The following is a 19,522-nucleotide window of genomic DNA, read 5'->3' on the forward strand; positions in this document are numbered from 1 at the left end:
ATCATGCTGTTGATCAAGAAACTACAAACTTGAGCATTTTTCCTCTGTTGTATATAGATGTGGATAAAGTACACAATGACTAAAAACAAAAGCCAGAAACAGCTAGAAAGGTCAGATGTAGTTAAAGTGATTTTTAAAGGAAACCCTGGGTAGTGTGAAGTTTGCCTTGCTCCAAATCTATTTGTGCTGATTTAATTTCCACAAGATGGTGGCCTGGTAACCCCATTTCTAGCTCAATAGGCACTATTAAGGCTGAGTTTATTATTTTTTTTTTAAATCAATCTCAGCATCCTACAAAAGTTCTAGACTGGTAATTTCATACATAAAGTATTATTTACCTGAATAATAGATATTGACTTAACAATGATACGCATGTGAGGCTAATGATTGTGAGGCTTACGGAAACAGAGGAATCTCCTAGTTCATCCCTAGTCTCTTGCAGTATCATGCTAGGCTGGAGTCTATGCAATGCCAGAGAATTGAGTTGAGGCAGGCACCTGGATTATTAGGTGATATACAACTCACATAGGAGGGTGACTGTTTTGATAAAATGGAGACTCAGTTTAGACTTAGGATCTAAACTCAAAGTCTACAGATGGAATATCTTACTGACCAGGTCACTAGCACTGACCTCTCAACATCAATCATAGAGATGGAAATGCAAGGGTAATGCAATTTAGTTTTCAGAGCCCATTAAATGTTTTATCTTTCATCTAAGAAACATTTGGTAGATAATATCATAAAGTCATTTACCCTACTTGCATCAGCTGACTAGTTCTGCCTACTCAATACCTGGCTTTATTTCTGATGACTGGATTGGGTTTTGGTAGTTTTCGCCTTCAGCTAAGATAAGAACAGAAAATATATTTCATAGTGAATGATAATGGTGAAATGATCATAGTTACCAGGTTTGTGTTGAGAAGGTTTTGCGGGGTCACTTCTAGGCTGGGGTGCCATGATTAATGGGTAATGAATCTGGGTGGGTGGTGGGGGAGGTAGGATGTGTATCATTTGTCATCCCAGCACAGAGGCTTCTAGCTAGACTGGCAATGACTACTTTGTGGATCATTAAACAAACGGGATTCTTAGGTGTCCTGATGGGAATTACAGTTGTTCCTCCCATCCATATAAAACTGTGGTCTCCTTCTTGGGTCCTGGATCACGGTCCAAAGTCAGCATCCATTTTCTCTGATAAGGTTTACTTTACCAAAGTAACTTACCAAGTTTTGGTAACTGAAATAGTGCATTTGAGCATATTTTCCACAAATAGGGGGTTGGGGAGGGGATAGGAAAAAAGTCTGGTTATGGCCAAACCCAAATACTCCTACTGGGATTATGCCAAGATGACCTTGTTGAAAGATGTTAATATGTCATAAAATTTAGAAAATAATCAGTCAATAAAACAGTTTATGTCAAATGATTGCAATTTTGTCAAAGTGTTTTCATTTCAGAATATATCTTTTCTCTTTTTTTTTTTTTTGGCAGAGCTAGCTGAGGTTTTATTTTGGACAGAAAAACAAAACAAAACAAAACAAAAAACAATTGAATTGTTTTGTGGCTGGAGGCATGGGCAAGGGGCGGGGGTCCCCAGGCAGTGAACTCCCCCGCGGGTGGGCTGAGGGCTAGGGCTGAGCCTCAGGTAAGTCTCCTGTTCCCTGTGCTTCCTTGCACAGCAGCCTCCCTCCTAGGCTTTGGGGCAGCCGTAGGAGGGGCAGGCTGGGAGGGGCTGCCGCAGCTGTTCACTTGAGCAGGAAATCAGAGGACACCAGCTTCCCATCTCGGGTCTTGATCTTCTTCACAACCATGGCCCTGGTGGAGCTGGTGCGGCTGAAGGAGCTGGAACCTGCGCCAGAGCGAGAGCTGGAGCTCAGGCCGTAGCTGAGGCCAGAGCCTGTGAGGCCCCCATAGGCCAAGCTCACACCACCTGCATAGCCGCTGGTGGTCTTCGTATGGATACTCATGTTCTCCATCTTCCAGCAGCTTCCTGTAGGTGGCGATCTCGATGTCCAGGGTCAGCTTGATGTTCATCAGCTTCTGGTAGGCACGCAGCTGCCGCGCCATGTCCTACTTGGTCTGCTGAAGGGCGGCCTCCAGCTCGGACAGCTTAGCGTTGGCATCCTTAATGACCAGCTCCCTGCGCTGCTCCGCATCTGCGATGCCGGCCTCCAGGGAAATCCTCCCGCCTTTGAGGCCCTCAGTCTCAGCCTGGAGCCAGCTGATGTTCCGGTTCATCTCAGAGATCTCAGTCTTTGTAAGACGCAGGTCTTCCCAGCCAGCGTCTGCAGCTCCTCATACTTGATCTGATACATGCTCTCGGCCTCAGCCCGACTGCGGTTGGCGATCTCCTCGTACTGTACCTTGACCTCAGCGATGATGCTGTCCGTGTCCAGGGAGCGGCTGTTGTCAATGGACAGCACCACAGACGTGTCCGAGATCTGGGACTGCAGCTCCCGGATCTCCTCTTCATACAGCTGCCTGAGGAAGTTGATATCGTCAGCCCTTCCAGGCAAGACTCCAGCTCTACCTCGTTAATGTAAGCTTCATCCACATCCTTCTTGATGAGGACAAATTCATTCTCCGTCTCTGTACTCTTATTGATCTCATCCTCATAGTTGTTCTTGAAGTCCTCCACCAGCCCCTGCGTGTTGCCAAGCTCCGCCTCCAGCTTCAGCTTCTCCTGGCCCAGAGTCTCCAGCTGCCGCCTAAGGCTGTTGATGTAGCTCTCGAATATGTTGTCCATGTTGCTCCCAGCCGTCTTCTGCTGCTGCAGGAGGCTCCACTTGGTCTCCAGCATCTTGTTCTGCTGCTCCAGGAACCGTACCTTGTCGACGAAGGAGGCAAACTTGTTGTTGAAGGTCTTGATCTGCTCCTTCTCCTGGGTGCACACAGCATGGATGTTGGGGTTCACCTTCAGGTTAAGGGGGTTCAGCAGGCTCTGGTTGACTGGGACGGCAGTGATGCCTCCCATGCCACTGGCCCCACCATAGGCCACCCCGGAAGCTGCTGCTGCCCACTCAGGAGAAGCTCAAGGAGCTGATGCAGACACCAGGCCCACTCGTGTAGGAGCAGCTGCAGAAGGCCCGGGTGCCAGAGGTGGACACCTTGTAGGACTTCTGCACCCTGATGGACATGGTGGAGGCAGGAGTGGAGGCAGGCGGGCTGAACCAGGCGGAGATTCCAGAAGGAGTGGAGAAGCTGCTTCTTGGTAGAATATATCTTTTCTAACAGGTAAAGCAATATGTACACTTACAGAAACTTCTGTTAATGACAAGGTGGCACTTAAAATATAAAACTAAGTTTCCTTTACAATCTGACTCTCCTACAAGTAATTGTTAATGACTACACATACCCACACACTCTCTCTCTATAGACAAAAGTTTATCAGAGAGAATCCAAAATTGTACTTTTTGGTGTAGAACGTACATAATTTATTTTCTTATGGTCTTTTTCTAAATCTTCGGTATTTTCTATATTTTGCCATAACCATAAATACTTGAACAATTTTTAACTTGTAAACAATTTTAATTTGTTTTCAAACTGAATGAAAGATTTTAGCACTCATCTCAGCAGCTTTAAAACTTTTTAAAAATTTAAAATTTATATATAGGCTGGGCACGGTGGCTCACGCCTATAATCTCAGCACTTTGGGAGGCTGAGGCAGGTGGATCCCTTGAGCTCAGGAGTTCGAGACCAGGCTGGGCAGCATGGTGAAACACCATTTCTACCAAAAATAAAAAAAATTAGCTCGGCATGGTGGTGTATGTCTGTGGTCCCAGCTACTTGGGAGGCTGAGGTGGGAGGATCACTTGAGCCTGGGAGGCAGAGGTTGCAGTGAGCCGAGATCATGCCACTGCACTCACACCTGGGCGACAGAGCCAGACTTGGTCTCAAAAAAAAAAAAAACACTGTATATCTGTATATCTATGTATGTGTGTGTGTATGTGTGTGTGTGTGTGTGTGTGTGTGTGTGTGTAAAATTCACTTTTTGTGGCATCCAGTTCTAAAGGTTTTGACAAATGCATAGAGATATGTATCCATAACCACTATCATGATATAGAACAATTCCATTGACCCCAGAAAGTTCCTTCATACTGCTCTTTTTAGTGGACAATTCTTCCAAAAGAAGTAAAATTATGGGAATAAAATGAACTGATAGATATAAGAGCTTGTAAGAGTTAAAAATGCTGTGTAGATACAGTGTCTCTATTGATATGACTCAACTTGATTTGGCACCAATAATTATTTTCTTAGTACACAGAGTCAAAGATTTTTTTTAATCTTTCTGTCTAGATGTTATTACTATTTGGGATTCTGTTTGGATGGTATGGAGCTAAAAAAAATTCATCAATACACTTTTGCCAACCTGCATCCAAGCTACGTTATCCATGAAGTATTCTACCTTTTCACCTATGCCCTTGTCTAAATGGAACTATGTTTGAGTTCCTGATTCAGTAGCGTTACCTTCTTAACTTGACACTGCTTCTCACACTCATTTAGTTTGGTACTAAAGACAGAAGTAGTAAATACACAGTTCTGATTACACATGCCACATGCTTGCTATCCTTGACCTACTGTGTGTAATACGTTCTGTTTGATCCAGAATTGTTTCCTCTGTCATCCAATCAGTGTCTAGTATTTGGATACTGAATATTCTTCCTTTCATTTAATTAATTCTGTGCATACTGGTTTTATCTTCAACCTGGTGCTGGTTTACCTCTTAGATGAAAGAATACAGATAGAAGGGTCCAATAGCTCCAAGTCCCAAGCTCTTATCACAATGGCTGTTTCCTACTTAACCATAAGTGCAGTATTAAAAAATGGGCACTGCTTAAATGTCAGTCTGACCCTGTAGATCAAGCCCATTAATGGCATGTGTTATGTCATGGCAGATACTCTTGGTTGGCTACTCCTACTCAGAATCTTTCTTCCTTGCCTGCCTCCTACTGTCCCACTGTAGAGGCTGGAAAACCCACATACTTGCTTTTTAGCCTCCCTTGTGGCTAGGGGTAATTGTGTGACCCAGATCTGGCCAATGAGGCATACAGGAAAGTCTACTGGGGAAGCAGGAGCGGGACAGAGATTCTGGGAAAGAGTTTTCTTCCCTGAATAAAAGGAAGTAAGTGAGGGAAGGCCTTCTGACCGGACTCTTCATTGCTTCCTGCCTTTGTTTGTAATTAAATGTGTTCATAATACGTGGGGCTGTGGCAGCCATCATGTGACCATGAGGTAATAAGCCTATGGACTTTAAAAGGCTAAGAAGCTGAGTATGACAGATGGGAGAATGGGACAATATCTTTGATGACACTGTTGAACAACTAAAACCTACCTTAAGACAGCCTATGTCTGAAATTGTTAAACCCTGTGGTTTAAGCTACTGTTAGTAAGTTTTCTGTTATATTCATCTAAATTCATGCTACTATACATGTCTTTCCATCTTTGTTTTCCTTATAGCACTTTGCACAGGGCCAGGTTATTAATGCATGTTGAGTTGGAAACTCCCTTGCCTTACAACATATTTGCACAAACTCTCACATGCACATTTCCACTTTACTCTACCACACAACCAATTTTCCTTCCCACTTGCTTGATTCCTAGTATTAAGATGATTTGTGTTTTTCCTCCTTCCCCTGCTGTGGAGATGGTGTATTATTTTTCAACCATTCAGATATGAAAGCAGCTTACTGGGATAGAATGCCAACCCCAATTTATTCATGGTGTTCATTGTAAAATTATGACTTCAGAGGGACCTAGCCACACCCTCTTTAGGAGCCAAGCTTTCCCTGCTAATATGCAGGAAGCCCACCATGCTTGCTGAGCTGTGAAAATCCAGATGGTGGGAAGCAGGTGAGTAATGAATGCCATGCTGTTCCCCTTAAAATGCACACAGCTTCCCCAGGCTGACCAAATCTCCAACACTAAACAGGTTTGAATCAACCCAAGGACATGTGGGTTGATAAAGATTGCCTTTTATTCAAAACAAGTTCCTGCAACATAGAAGCCTAGAAGATAAAATTTTCCCATAGTTGGAACAAAACTTGCCTAAAGGGCAAAGGAGTCTTAAAAATTATAAGTCTCTGAGTACAGAAAAATCCAGTGGGAAATTGATAGCAGTCCAGACTTGCCTACATGCCTGTGTGGTTTACAGTGGAATCTGCTGTCAAGGTGTTTACCATCTGTCACCCAATTTTTCAAAAAGCAGAGGAGTAATTAACTGCTCAGGCAATACAAACTCTGTCAATCATTCAGATCTATTATCCGCACAACATGGGACATCTATGGCTGACCCCAAAGTCAGCAGGACTCCAGGTCCAAAATGAGAAAGTTCTCACATCTGTGGGGGAATGGGAGTTCTTGGGCAGGCCCTGTGCTACCTGCTACCCAAACACACATATTATGGCATCTGGCACATGTTTGGTCAGAAATTTTGCTTTGCCAGATGTTCTGAAGTCAGTAAGACATGGTATCCACTTTGTGGAAGCTAAAATTCCCCATATTTTGGGACTGGCTCAGGTATCACTTCCTTAAGAAGCCCTGTGTGACTTCTTTTAAGCCCAACACAGCTCCCTTTATTATGCAGCCTCATTGCTCCCCATACTTTGCCTTTATAAGTTATCACCACTAATCATTAGCATTTATCACAATGATATTAGAATCATTTATATGCCTGTTTCAGTCTCTTCATTGTAAACTTCACAAGGAACTTGTTCACCACTAAACCCTCAGTGCCTAGCTGAGTCTCTTAGTATATAACAGATGCTTCTCAATCTTTTTTTTTCTATGCTCACAAGTCATCAAGCAATCAATCTTTTTTCTTTAATGGATCACTGAATGGGCACTGAAGAGAGCCAATACCAAAGTGGACCAACATATAGAGAATGGATAACCCTAAACAAAGTATCAATAATCAAAATATGTATGCTGGGTAGATGTAAACATTTACTTAAGATGTGAAGCAAGAAAAAGTTCTCATTTGGAATAGTGAGTGTTTGATGATTTTAGAATGAGATACATTGCTCAATAAATAATAGATCTTGTCCTAAAAAGCCTTTGCAGCACTGTCAGGGATTCAGGGTCCTATGAATAACAGGAAGAGAAAGCAGATGGGTTGGGGGAGAGAGGATGTCCAGGTAGGGTCCTACTTGGGAGAGGGCATGGAGGTGGTAATAAGAAAGCCAAAGTGGATGAGCAAATACATCTGAGATGAAAGGACTCGATTTAATGAATGCCTATTATGTGCATGTCACTGGGCTGGGTACCAGAGATATAGTAATAAACAAACACTACTGGTACTTGCCCTTGTGAAACTCTCAGTTAGAGGACTGGGAGGTAATGGGAGGTTGGGATACAAGTACAATGTTGGGGAAAGGTTGTTCAAAGATTCTGATCATAGAGATTTTTAAGTCAAAGAATTTTTTTTTTCCTAGAGGGAAGCAGAAGTCCTTATCAGAACTCAAGGAAACACATCTCAGCCATATCCTTGCATGCAATAAATCTCTTTTATTTCTCTAAAGGACAAATTGAACACTAAATACAATGCATATTTTTGTTAAACTGTAGGTGGGCCTAAAGAAATGAATGAAGAATATGATAGGCAAGGATTTGATTTTTTCCTCCTAAAACATGAGGTCCCGATGTCAAACAAAATAAATATGTTGCTAATAGTTCACAAGGTATTATTATGTTACGATGGTTTTTCAAGGGTCTTAGCAAATAAAATGGAAAGTATTAGAAACAAGCGTGCCAGTTATAATACCATGAATCACTTAGTATTTTTTCTCTTTCTCCCTCCCTCCTTCTAGTTTCTGGCTAGGAGTTGTGGTATTTTGAAGAATATTATAAAGTATGCTCTCTTTTGGATAATATGCATATTTTAAAGCACTGAATGCAATACTGTACACACAGTAGGTAAGAGTAAAATACAGAATGAATAAACTAGTGTTGATTTTCATCAGCAGCAGGACCCAATCTTTAATAAATATTCATCAGGATAAAGGCAGTATAGTAAATACTTACTGCTTTTATCTATCCACTGAAAATCGGATATTTAGAAAATCTATTATATTTGACTTCATGGTCATGTAGCAGTTTAGATAACAATGAATAATATTAAAACTAGAAAAGTCAGGAAAGATTTAATGTTAATAGGACATAAGGGTGATCTGGTTGCAACATCTGTCACCCCACTGATCACCAGGGTTGATTTGGCTGATCCGGATGGCTAGGCAGGTGTCTCCTTCCTCCCTCACCACTCTGTGCATCCCTCCCAGAGCTGCACAATGGGTTGAAGAGCATGATCATCCCCAATAGAGGAGGACTGGTCTTCGGTCAAGGGTATATGAGTAGCTGTGTTCCCCTGCTAGAATCTCCAAACAACGTCTCAAGATTTAGGGTTAATTAATTCATTCATTGACCCATTTATTCACTCAACAAATGTACATTGAACACACCAACTACGTGTAAAGTACTATTCCAGATATTAAAGAAAGATCAATTAAAAATAGATAAGATATCTGTCCTCATGCATCTTACATTCTAGTTGTGGAGAAAAGAAAATCATCAATGAACATATTAAATTACATTGTATGTTATGTACTAAGGAAAACAAATAGAGCTGAGTAAGATGAACAGGACTGGCATTTTCAGGGAGGCTGCAATTTCAATAGGGTGGTTGTGACAGACTTCATGGGGGAGACTTGAAGGAGTGGAGGCGTTCACGATGCAGGTATCTGTAGGAAGAGTGTTCCAAAGAGATGAAACTGACAATGGAAAGACCCTAAGAGGGAAATGAACATGTGTTAAGGGATCAGTGTGCCTAGAGCAGAACAAACAAGGGGTAAATAGGTAGGAGAAATGGGAGGTTCACATGATATAGAGTCTTGTATAACACAGCAAGGACTCTCTTACTAAAAGTGAAATGGGCACAACAATGTGAATGTATTTGATGCCACCAAACTGTATACTGAAAAATAGTTAAAATGGTAAAGCTTATGTTACGTACATTTTACAACAAAAAAGTGAAAGGGATAGCTGTTGGAAGGATACTAAGTAGACAAGTGACTGCTTTTACAAGACTCAATTTGGCTACAGTGTTGATAACAGACTGTAGAGGGCTGAGGTAGAATTGGGAAGTGTATTGAGATAATCAAGGGGAGATAAACCATGGTGTAGGCTGTGGAGGTGAAGAGAACTGGCTATTTTCTGGATGATATTGAAAGTTGACCTGTGAGGATTTGCTGATGGATTGATTATAGGGTTTGAAAAAATACAAGAATCAAGGATGATCCCAAAGTTTTTGGTCTCAGCAACTGGCATGTTAGAGTTGCCATCACTGAGAATATTGTGAGTAAAGCAGGCTTTTTGAGGACCAGATGTTCAGTTTTATGCATGTGAAATGTGAGAGGTTTATAAGTACAGATGTTGAGGAGATAACTGGAAATAAGAATTTGGAGTTCAGGAGAGGGGATTGAGCTGGTGATATAAATTTGGGAGTTATTAGCATTCAGATAGTGTTTAAAGCAACAAGACCAGATGAGGTCTTGGGGAGTGAGTGCATTAAAATAAATGAAGAGGACCAAGAGCTGAACAGTAGGGCACTCCAACATTGAAAAAGTTGGGGACAGAAGAAGAAAATCCAGGGAAAAAAACAAAGAGAATGACCAGTGAGATAATAAGAAAATCAAAGAAACGTAATGTCCTGGAAACCAAGTGAAGTTCAGACAAGTGACCAACCATGTCAAATACTGCTCATAGGCAAGCTAAAAGTTTAGAGTAAAACTTTAAGCTTAGTACTGTGGAGCTCATTTTTAACTTTGAGTAATGTATAGTTTCTATGGGATGGTGGCCATAAAACTTGATCGGAGTAGGTTTCAGAGAGAATGGGAGGAGAGGAATTGGAGATGGTGACTATGTACAACTCCTTGAAGAGTAGCAAAGAAATGAGGTGAAAGATGGTAAGGAAAGTGGGATCAAGAGAGTACTTTCACAGTGTCATAGAAATAACAGCATGTTTATATGCTGGTGGGAAAGTTCCAACTGCCAGGAAAAAAATAACGATGAAGAAGAAAGAAGGTGGAATTGCTGAATGAATAAAAAAATAAATGTATAGATGAACAGGCCAGGAATGAGGACTGGTCGCCACTAACATTTGAAATAAAATCTGTACAGGTTCAAACCCTACCCACAGCCAAAATCTGGATAGTAAGAAAAATGCTATTGAAATCTTCTCTTCATATAAGGTTTAACAGGATTCTTAAAACATTTAGTATTACAAGAATTTCTCTCATATATCAGCATTTCAGAGATCCATGTGATTGCTATGAATAAAAGACCTCTTGATTTTTTTTTTGTTTCTTCCTCCTTATTCTCTCCCTCTCCCCTGACCTCACACCTCTTCTTTCTTTTCTGCTTTCCACTCATCTCTTCCTCCCTTCCCTTCTCCTTTTGAAGCTGAGAGCAGAAAGGACTCTGTTCTTTTAGCTACCTACTATCTGCCTACCAGGCAGAAGGCTGCTAACTCATATACACTTTAAAGTGATGAGAAATCTACTACAAGATCACTTCCACATGGGTAGGCTGACCTCCTTTTGGCCTTCCTTAACTTTCACCAGTATCCTTAATATCTTATAGAAACAAGTCTGTCAGAGTGGGGAAAAAAACCCTACACTCTCATCCTTTCCCTGTGCAAGATTTACAGACACATTGTAAATGGCCAGACCCAGGTGATGGTGCCAGGAACTTTCCAAGTGATTTGTAGATCTCCCTTCCAGGACATCAGTCTTTAATGGAAAACTCTTTTAGCTGCACATTCCTTTCCTGCAGTATGACTACAGGTAGAGAATTGCAACTGTCATAAAGAAGACTCACTGAAATTAACTAGCTATTGACTTGGTCTCAAGACATTACAGTCTAAGAGAAACACCAGCACTGCACAGTTTAGAAAAGCATAGTTTTTCTTTGAAACTACCATTTATTGAGTTGGCCTACTGCAAGCCAGGCACGGCGTTCGACCCTCTATATACATACACTCTCTTCCTAAATCTATAGATCCATCGTCATATATTGGATACTGACTTTGGTCATGATCTGTGCTTTGTGTTTTATGTTATATCACTTAATTGTCACTCAAACTCCATGAGTTTTAGTATCTTTCTCCATTTTTCAGTTGGGAAAATGGTGGCTCAGACAGGATAAATAACTTGCTCATGTTTGTAAGACTAGTCGTGGAGCTGGGATTTAAACCCAATTGTAGTTCCAAAGCTTGTGTTCAGAACCTGCCTTTTTGTGGGCTGCTTCTTTTCCCTCCACCTTCTATTATTTCTTGTTCCTATTCTCTTCTGTATACTATCTCTTCTTTTTTCTATATAAATTCTTTTTTCATCTTTCACTCACAGTTGTAGGTTTTACTTCTTAACACAGCAGAGTGTATCTTCTGGGCTCAGTCTTCACTTTTCCATCATTGTCACACACTCCATCAAAGTTTAACTCCTCAGACTCTCAAAGCAAATACAATCTTTGCTGACCAACTGTTCATGCCATTTCATTTATCTAATATATTCTTGTCATTAATTGTGCCTGTTGACATCTCATTCTTTGAGACAGCATGTCCCTTGTGGGCAGGATCTTCTGCATTATTATAATCTGAGGACCTAGCATAGGGACTGGCATCTAGTAGGTTTGCAAAAAACACTTGTTTACTGACTAAATAAAAAAGTAAATACACAAATCCTTCAAGGCCAGCTCAAATGTCACCTATTCCATGAAGCTTTTCTAAGCTTCATTGATTGGAAAAAATTCCTTCTTCCTCACAAAAACTGTAACTCTTTGTACTTTTACATGAGATCCATGACATTGTCACTTACATGTGTACTTGTTCTATTTTCCTAACTGAAATGTATTTCATTAAAGGCAGAATTCCTATTTTACTCAATTTTGACTCTACTAAGCACAATTAATGTTTGATGAATAAAAGAATGTAAAATCTGAACCTTTCTCTAATAATACAATTTAGCTCTTAACCTTTATTAGGAGATCTCGGACATCTTTGAGGATCCAATAAAAGCTATAAATCCTTTCCCCATAAATATGCATGTACTTATATTTGTGAAATTCTGCATCTTATTTTCATGGTACTTCTGAATCTCTGGATCCCTAGTGGGATCTGAGACCATCACTCAATACTACCCTGCATTCAGACCTTTGCTTAAACAATTCTTCAATCTGGAAATTATCCTCTTAGAACTTATCCTGTTTCCCTTCCCTTCTAACACCCAGTTGAAAATTATTCTCTTCTAGAAACCAAGTAAGGACAGTTTACATTTAAAACTTCACTAACTTAGCTGGCATCTTCTTATCAGGCATGACTCATTTCTATTGGATTATGGTCTGAATGTTGATAGATGGCTCAAATATACTTTGTGTATGTGTTATCTGTTTAACTAGATTATAAGTTCCCTGAAAACAGAATAATATTTATTTCTTTAGTAGAAAGCATCTTTTTCAGTACCTAGGATCTTATTCTGTGCATAGCAAACATGACATAAATGGTTCACAACTGGAGATTTAGGATTCTCATGGGGACAACTGACTTTGGGTTTATGTAATGCACATGACAGCTCTCTGCTTAGCTTAAAGTCACACATGTTCCATTTTTACCTACAACTTATTGTTATTTTTAATTGTTCATTGCTATAGGCTTATAGCCTGGGACACCTCTGAAATAAAACTAGTATTTGAGAAATCTAGTACCAAGGCCATTTTCAGAAATGCTTTCTCCAGGAATAGCAGATAGGAGAGGAGTGAAAATCAGATCACATTTCCATACCTCCAAGGACTCTATTTTTGGGGAACATTTCAAATACTGATTCCAACAACCTAAGTTATTGCCTCTGGAGGATATGAAAAAGCTTCAAACTTGAAAAAGTCCATAACTATTAAATGCGTTGGCAAAATTCCTTTCTTTCCAACACACACCATAGCAGGTTTCTAGCACTGACTGTGATGCATTGCTTTCTGCAAAGTTCTTGGGGAATAAAAAATGATATGTCAGTATTTTATCAGGTAACAGAAGGAACCAAACCATTAAGCACTGAAGATATAGACTCAACACTGGCCACAATCTCAAATATACCTCCTGCTTCTTCACCTGAACTTGTATCAACAGTAAAATGTACTAGACACCATTTTGGGGAAGCTTTGGGGTAATACAACCTTTTGGTAGGTCATCATTAAGAACACTTTGTGAACGGGCCCTTTCCTCCCTCGCAAACTATCCCCTGACCTCCCTCCTTACCATTTTCTAGCCCTACTTTTGCTTTCAGGATCTCATAAATTTCCTGCTTTCCCCCTTAATTTGGGGAAACATGCTTTGCCTAAACTAGTCCCCCGTCCTCCCTTTTCCTTAGCCAACATCTCTTCATTTTAAAAAATTTCAGCTTGAACAACAGCACTTCCTGAGAGTGGACTTTTCTGACAACCTATTTTAAAGTCTTCACATTGTTCTTTATAGTACTCTATCCTTTTTCTTTAATGCATCTACCATAATTCATCATTATGTATATTATGTATGTTTTTGAGTGTTTATTGTTAATGTCTGTCTCCCTTGTAAGACTACATAATTCACAAGAATTCATAATTCACAGGAAGCACAGCTGATTTTTTTTTTAACCAACGGTATTCCTGGCCCCTAGCCCAATGTTTGACACATAGTAGACATGCAAGCATTGTTCAAGGAAAGTATGGTTTTCTAATCCTATCTCTACAAAAAATACAAAGATTAGCCTGGCATGGTGGCACACGCCTATAGTCTCAGCTACTCAGGAGGCTGAGGTGGGAAGACAGATTGAGCCCAGGAGGTTGAGGCTGCAGTGAGCTGTGATCGCACCACTGTACTACAGCCTGGGTGACAGAGTGAGACCCCATCTTAAAAAAAAAAAAGTACGGTTTCCTAGAATATTTATTAATATTTGTAGCCTGATCATTTGGATTATATCCTCTAATGTTGTTCTTACACACACACGTACATTTGGTTTTCAGTTGAATTGAGTGTAGCAGAACTATGGGATCATGAAAATTTGAAAACCAATAAAATCCACATTTGCTTCATTCTAGTTAATAAGGTCTATGCTGAGCTAATCATATACACGAAAACACATGCATTATAAAATGCACACACACCCTTCTGCTACTTAAATTCCAGCCCTTGTCTAAACCAGTCTCCACCCTTTCAATTTGCAGGAAGAAAGGCAATCGAACACCAGAGACTGGGTGGGAAGATCTTTATATGCCAAGAAGTCTGACCCAGTGAACTATTTCAGTCACATACGCAGTTTGAATTGGATTGCCCGATCCCTGAGAAGGGATTTCTGGATTAGACAGTTCATTAGAGGCTGAGCCAGCTTCTAGGGCTTGTCAGTCTTTGCTCTGCATGCCTGGAATTAGCAAAGTGATGCAGTGAAGGCTGCCTGAGTGACAGCTGCCAGTGAGTCACATGAAATAATGGCTGAAATAGCAGCTACTTAGAGGCAACAACCACACCTGCAGCACAGAATCCCAAGACGAAAATGAGATTTGCTGTCCATTGAAAACTATTTACTGAGCACCTTCTATGTGCCTGACCTAGGACTTTGTCTTGAGAAATAATTCTAAGAGTTGATCAATAGCAGTCTTGTAATCCCAGGTTAAATTATAGCTTCCACATTTACTAGCTGGCAAATCTTGGGTTTATTATTTAACCTCTCTCTCTGCCCCCTACTTATTTAATCTGCAAAATGGAGATGATGATATTATGTTGAGAATTATGTACATAAATTTATGCAAAGCACTTAGAATGGTACCTGACACACATAAGCACTAAATGTTAGTATAGTATTTTACCTAGAAGTAACATAATGAATGGTTAACAGAATGACTTTAGGTGTCAGAAAGATACCATTCATCTCTGTCATTTACAAGTGATGTGCCTTTGGGCAAGTTACTTGAGTTCTCTGAATCTCAGTTTCTTTATCTGTAAAATAAGAATAATATTGGTACCATTTTGGAGGGGAATTATGAGGATTAAATGAGATAAGGATGGGGAGGAGCTTAGCATGATGCCTTGCACATTGTAGCTCCTCAATATATATAATTTGTTGTTGTTGTTCCCAGTGGATCACTCATCTGGATCCCAGATAAGGCAGAGCAAGGCTCCACAGCTCCACATCATGGGACCAAATAGCCCAGAGGATACCAGTTGGAGTGGATAGGTCATATCTGACAAGCAGATTTATTTTATTTGGACTAGTTTATTAACATTGCAGTATTAGCCCACACAAAGGTTTCCAACATTTTGAATGAGTTTCTATCATCTAAAAAGTATAAAGTTTCATTTTAAACAATTGAGATTTTTCAGTTTCTTTAGAAAAATGAAGATTGGCAACATCAAGCTGGCATTCCCATATGGCCATTCCTGACTTGAGTGGGGAAGCAGCTGCTCCCTTTAGAAGGGCATAGGTCTTGAATTTACTGCACCTCCTAACATTTCCTAGTGTACCCCCAGCCTTAGTGTCAAGTGCCAGCTCCCATTTACCCTCCTGAGGTTTTCCTCTACCTCTCTGCTTTCATCTTTTACGCTACTTTGCCTCTGTAGGCATCTGAGTTAGCAGCTGCTGGTCTTTACTGTTGAGTGGTATCCTCTGCAAACTGGTACCTCTCTACAGGGCTGCATGCAAGGTAGCAACACCTTTATCCACACAACGTTAGGTCATTTGTCAGCACTGCAAGTGCAAGTATGGAATGAAAAAACAGTCAAAACTGCAAATGCAAGTGTGGAATGAAAAAACAGTCAAATCACAACTAAGGGCTGGCCTAACCAGTAAGCTGAGCACATCCTTGGAGGACAGCCTCTTACCCAGAAGTTGACTGCATGAATTCACTATTCACTCACCCTGAATCTTCTCCAGTTTCATTTAGACTGAGGGTAGAGGATATGGGACAAAGGATAGGGGTGCTATACAACAATACTTCAAAACTTGGTTAATCTAAAATATATCATATGGACCATTAGTTCCTTAAGATGCTGTTTCTTGGGGGGAAGATGTCGAACACTGTTGGGAAATAGCTCATACACTGTCCCTCATCTTGGGGATTTATCTGGGTAAATATTGAGTTGTCCCATCAGAAAGAAGTTCACCCACAGTTCATACATTAACAGATATTTACTAAGGACTTACAGATATTTATTAAGGTTTTATTAAGGACTTGCCAGGCACTGTTCTTTTTGGTGTTGGAGATTCAGTATTGACAGTCAATATTAAATCTGAATATTGACAGATTCAGTTCAGACAATCCTGAACTCAGGTAACTTATTCTAGTGTGGAGTAAAGAAGACTTCACTCTCTTTCCAAATTTATCTGACTATAGAATGCTACTGAAAAATACTGCTTTATACATAGTGCATAGCCACTTGCAAATCCTATCTCTTGAGACTTTTCATGATAAAGGAATGATGGAGATTTTCACTTCTGTGAATACATAAGAGAATCAGACCACTCCAAAATGTTTTAGAGAAACAGATAATTTATTTTTTATTTCTTGAAAAGTCAATTAACCCACCAGAGCAGCCTTAATTTGGAAAGAACCACAGCCTCACCTGGGGACTCAGGCCTGGCTAAGTTTTCTGAGAATATCACATGAAGGGTTAACTTGACATTTACCTCCAAACTGGAGCTGTTTTTCTCTGCCTCTAATATGACCCTGTTGGAAATGTATTTGTTTTTCACTATTTAATCTTCTGCATCACCCACTGTTGATTAGATTTAATTAATTTATGTTTCTAATGAATTTAGAAACTTGCAGTGCTATAGCAGGAAAATTTTCAGACAGCATCTGGCCACCAAATGGATTGATTACCTTGTCTGCAAAAGTCTTTCAAACATCTGGGGCCTGATTTTGTGAAACATCCAGAGGCTCTTTCAAAGGTAAGAAAACCCACACAGAAGAATCTTGAGGGGAGAAAGAGAGAAGGTGCTAGAAATAGGTAGGATTCTCTTTGATTTGCAAACCAGGATCCTGGCACTCTCCCAACATGAAATCACATTTTGCTGCTCGTTGGCACAGTTTCAATGGCACCAAATAGACTGATCTGAATCTATTTTGTTCAACATCATTGGATTCCACCAGGCCCAAGCCAGGCTGCCGCCCTGTGCGCTTCTTTGGCACTTCCTTCTATGTGGAAGCTCCCAGTGATCATTAAGGCGAAACATTTACAGAAAACATTCAGAGAGAAGCACTTTGCTCTCATTCACTCAACAAACATTTATCAGGAGCCCACTGTGTGCCTGGCACTGAGCCACGCATACCTCTTAAGTAGCTCTTGCAACAACCTTGCAGGATAGGTAGGTACTGCTCTCCCATTCTCATAGATGGGACCAAGTAATAAGTAAAAATAACAATAATCATTAAGGTTAACAGGAACACTACTAATATAGATGTAGAGATATGCATACCCACACAGCAGGCTCTGTGTGAAGAACTTTACATGCATTAACTCATTTAACCCTCACAATAAAACCATAAGGTAGATGTCATTATTACTACCCCCATTTTACAGATGAGGAAACTGAGTCACTGTAAGCTTATGTTAACCCAGCTAGCCTTTGGCAGAACCAGCCTTCTAACATAGGCAGTCTAACTTGAGAGCTTTTTGCTATAAACCACTCAACTTTACTACCTCCAGATACTATTTACTGAAGACCTGCTATATGTTAGGTACTATCTTACAGCTTTTACAACATTAGATTTTAATGACATTTACGCCATATGCAGTGGATGCTATTATTCCCAGACAAGAAAACAAAAGCCTAGAAACATTAAGTAACTTGTTGAAGTCACAAAGAGAGTTAGTAAGACTTAGGCTATGGCTTAACTCAGGTCTGCGGAGCTACAAAGGCCACTTTCTGCTTACTGAGTTATCTGCTGATGAATCAGAGAAAAAATGAGTGTTGAGAACTCAATAGCTTTCTCAAAGCTGCCCCAGGAAACAAACTAAAAGTCAGAAGGCATAGCCTGGCTGCTTTGCACAGCCCAGCCCAGTCCAGAAAAGGGGAAGCTACAAAATATGCTACAAAGAATAAGAAAAACAGCTTCATCTAACAGAAGTAGGTGAAATCTTATTGCCTGACTGGTTTTTCTGGCTCAAATTCAGAGAAATGACTGACAAGCAAGTGGGTTGCCCACAGTATAAACAATAATGAAAAAGCCTGCAATGCTGAACATCTGAAATTTTTTGCAATGTTGCACAATCAGGTTAGTGCCTAATACATAGTATAAAACACAATTATATACAGTACCAGTGTTGAAGAAACCCAGTTTGACATGGTTCTTGTGATAGAATATAATTACTAAGTCTGGCCATTTCTTTTGATTAAAAAACTTACTTTCTTTGACTTCTCTCTTGTCTACTGCCACTACCTAAACATGAACAGGTCCTTGCTCCTCTTTGGGCCTTTGTATGTGCCTTTCTCTGCCTGGAACCTGGCTAATCTCTATTCATCCTCGATCCTCAGATTGTCGTCTCTTCCTCCAGGAAGTCTTCCTTGACTTTCCTATTCTGGGTTAGATGCCCATTTTAAGCACAATGTATATTTCCTCCTATTATAGCATTTATTACACCGTAAGGTAACTGTTTATTTGTTGGCCTCCTCATTGAGAGAGCATATGTTGGTTACCACTATATTCCCAGTGTATGGGTATGGTACATAATAAGTGTCCAATAAATATTTAATTGATTGGATGAATTGGAGTGAACCTCATAACATCCTCTTTGTTGGTCTCCCTGTTTGAAACCTCTCACCTCCACACTTTGTGCTACATCCCGTCAGTCATTCAGCTTTCCTTTAAACTTTCATAGTGTCATTTTAAGAAATCACTTCCCTTTGAACACTCACATAAAAGTCGGAATACTGATAATCTCTGGGCGAGGGAGAATTAAGTAAGAGTGGGCAAGAGAAAATCTTACGGAGTCCTAAAACTGTCCTGTACCTTTATGTGGGTAATGGTGACATGGTTGTATACATGTATAAAAGTCATTAAGCTGAATACAAAAGAATAATGCTCGTTATTGTGAGTAATTAACACCTCAGAATAAACACATGAATCCTTTGAAAGATCACTTGTGTTGATAGGATAAAATCCAGACCTCCTTGCCCCAGTTTTCATTGTTCTTTACTGATTGGCCCAATGGTCGATGTACTTGTTCAAACTCACTTTTCTAAAACACACGCCCTGATCTTCTAACAGGTCCTGAAACCCTTCTCACTCATTCCCATCTCTGTGCTTAAAATCATGTTTTCTTACCCTAAATGTTTATTTCTCTTCCTCCCACCTTACAAAAGCTCCTCCCCCTCTTGGAGGGCCAGGACAAATTCATCCATACAAACTCAACAAATCCACAAATCTCATTAATCCCTTTTTTCTCTGAACCTTTGACTATTTTGTCTGTTTCATTCATTCGTGCCAACATTTCCTGAGGACTGTAAGTTCCTTGAAG

General features: G+C 40.2%; 1 protein-coding gene and 1 pseudogene across 10 annotated transcripts in view; both read right to left on the minus strand.

Moving 5' to 3' along the window:
- Nucleotides 1-19,522, minus strand: part of PPP2R2B (protein phosphatase 2 regulatory subunit Bbeta) — a 500,779-nt gene that overhangs the window by 123,726 nt on the left and 357,531 nt on the right. The window lies entirely within an intron of this gene.
- KRT8P48 (keratin 8 pseudogene 48) lies at nt 1,479-3,207 on the minus strand (annotated as a pseudogene).

The sequence above is a fragment of the Homo sapiens genome, chromosome 5 (genome assembly GCF_000001405.40).
Source record: "Homo sapiens chromosome 5, GRCh38.p14 Primary Assembly".
NCBI lineage: Eukaryota > Metazoa > Chordata > Mammalia > Primates > Hominidae > Homo > Homo sapiens.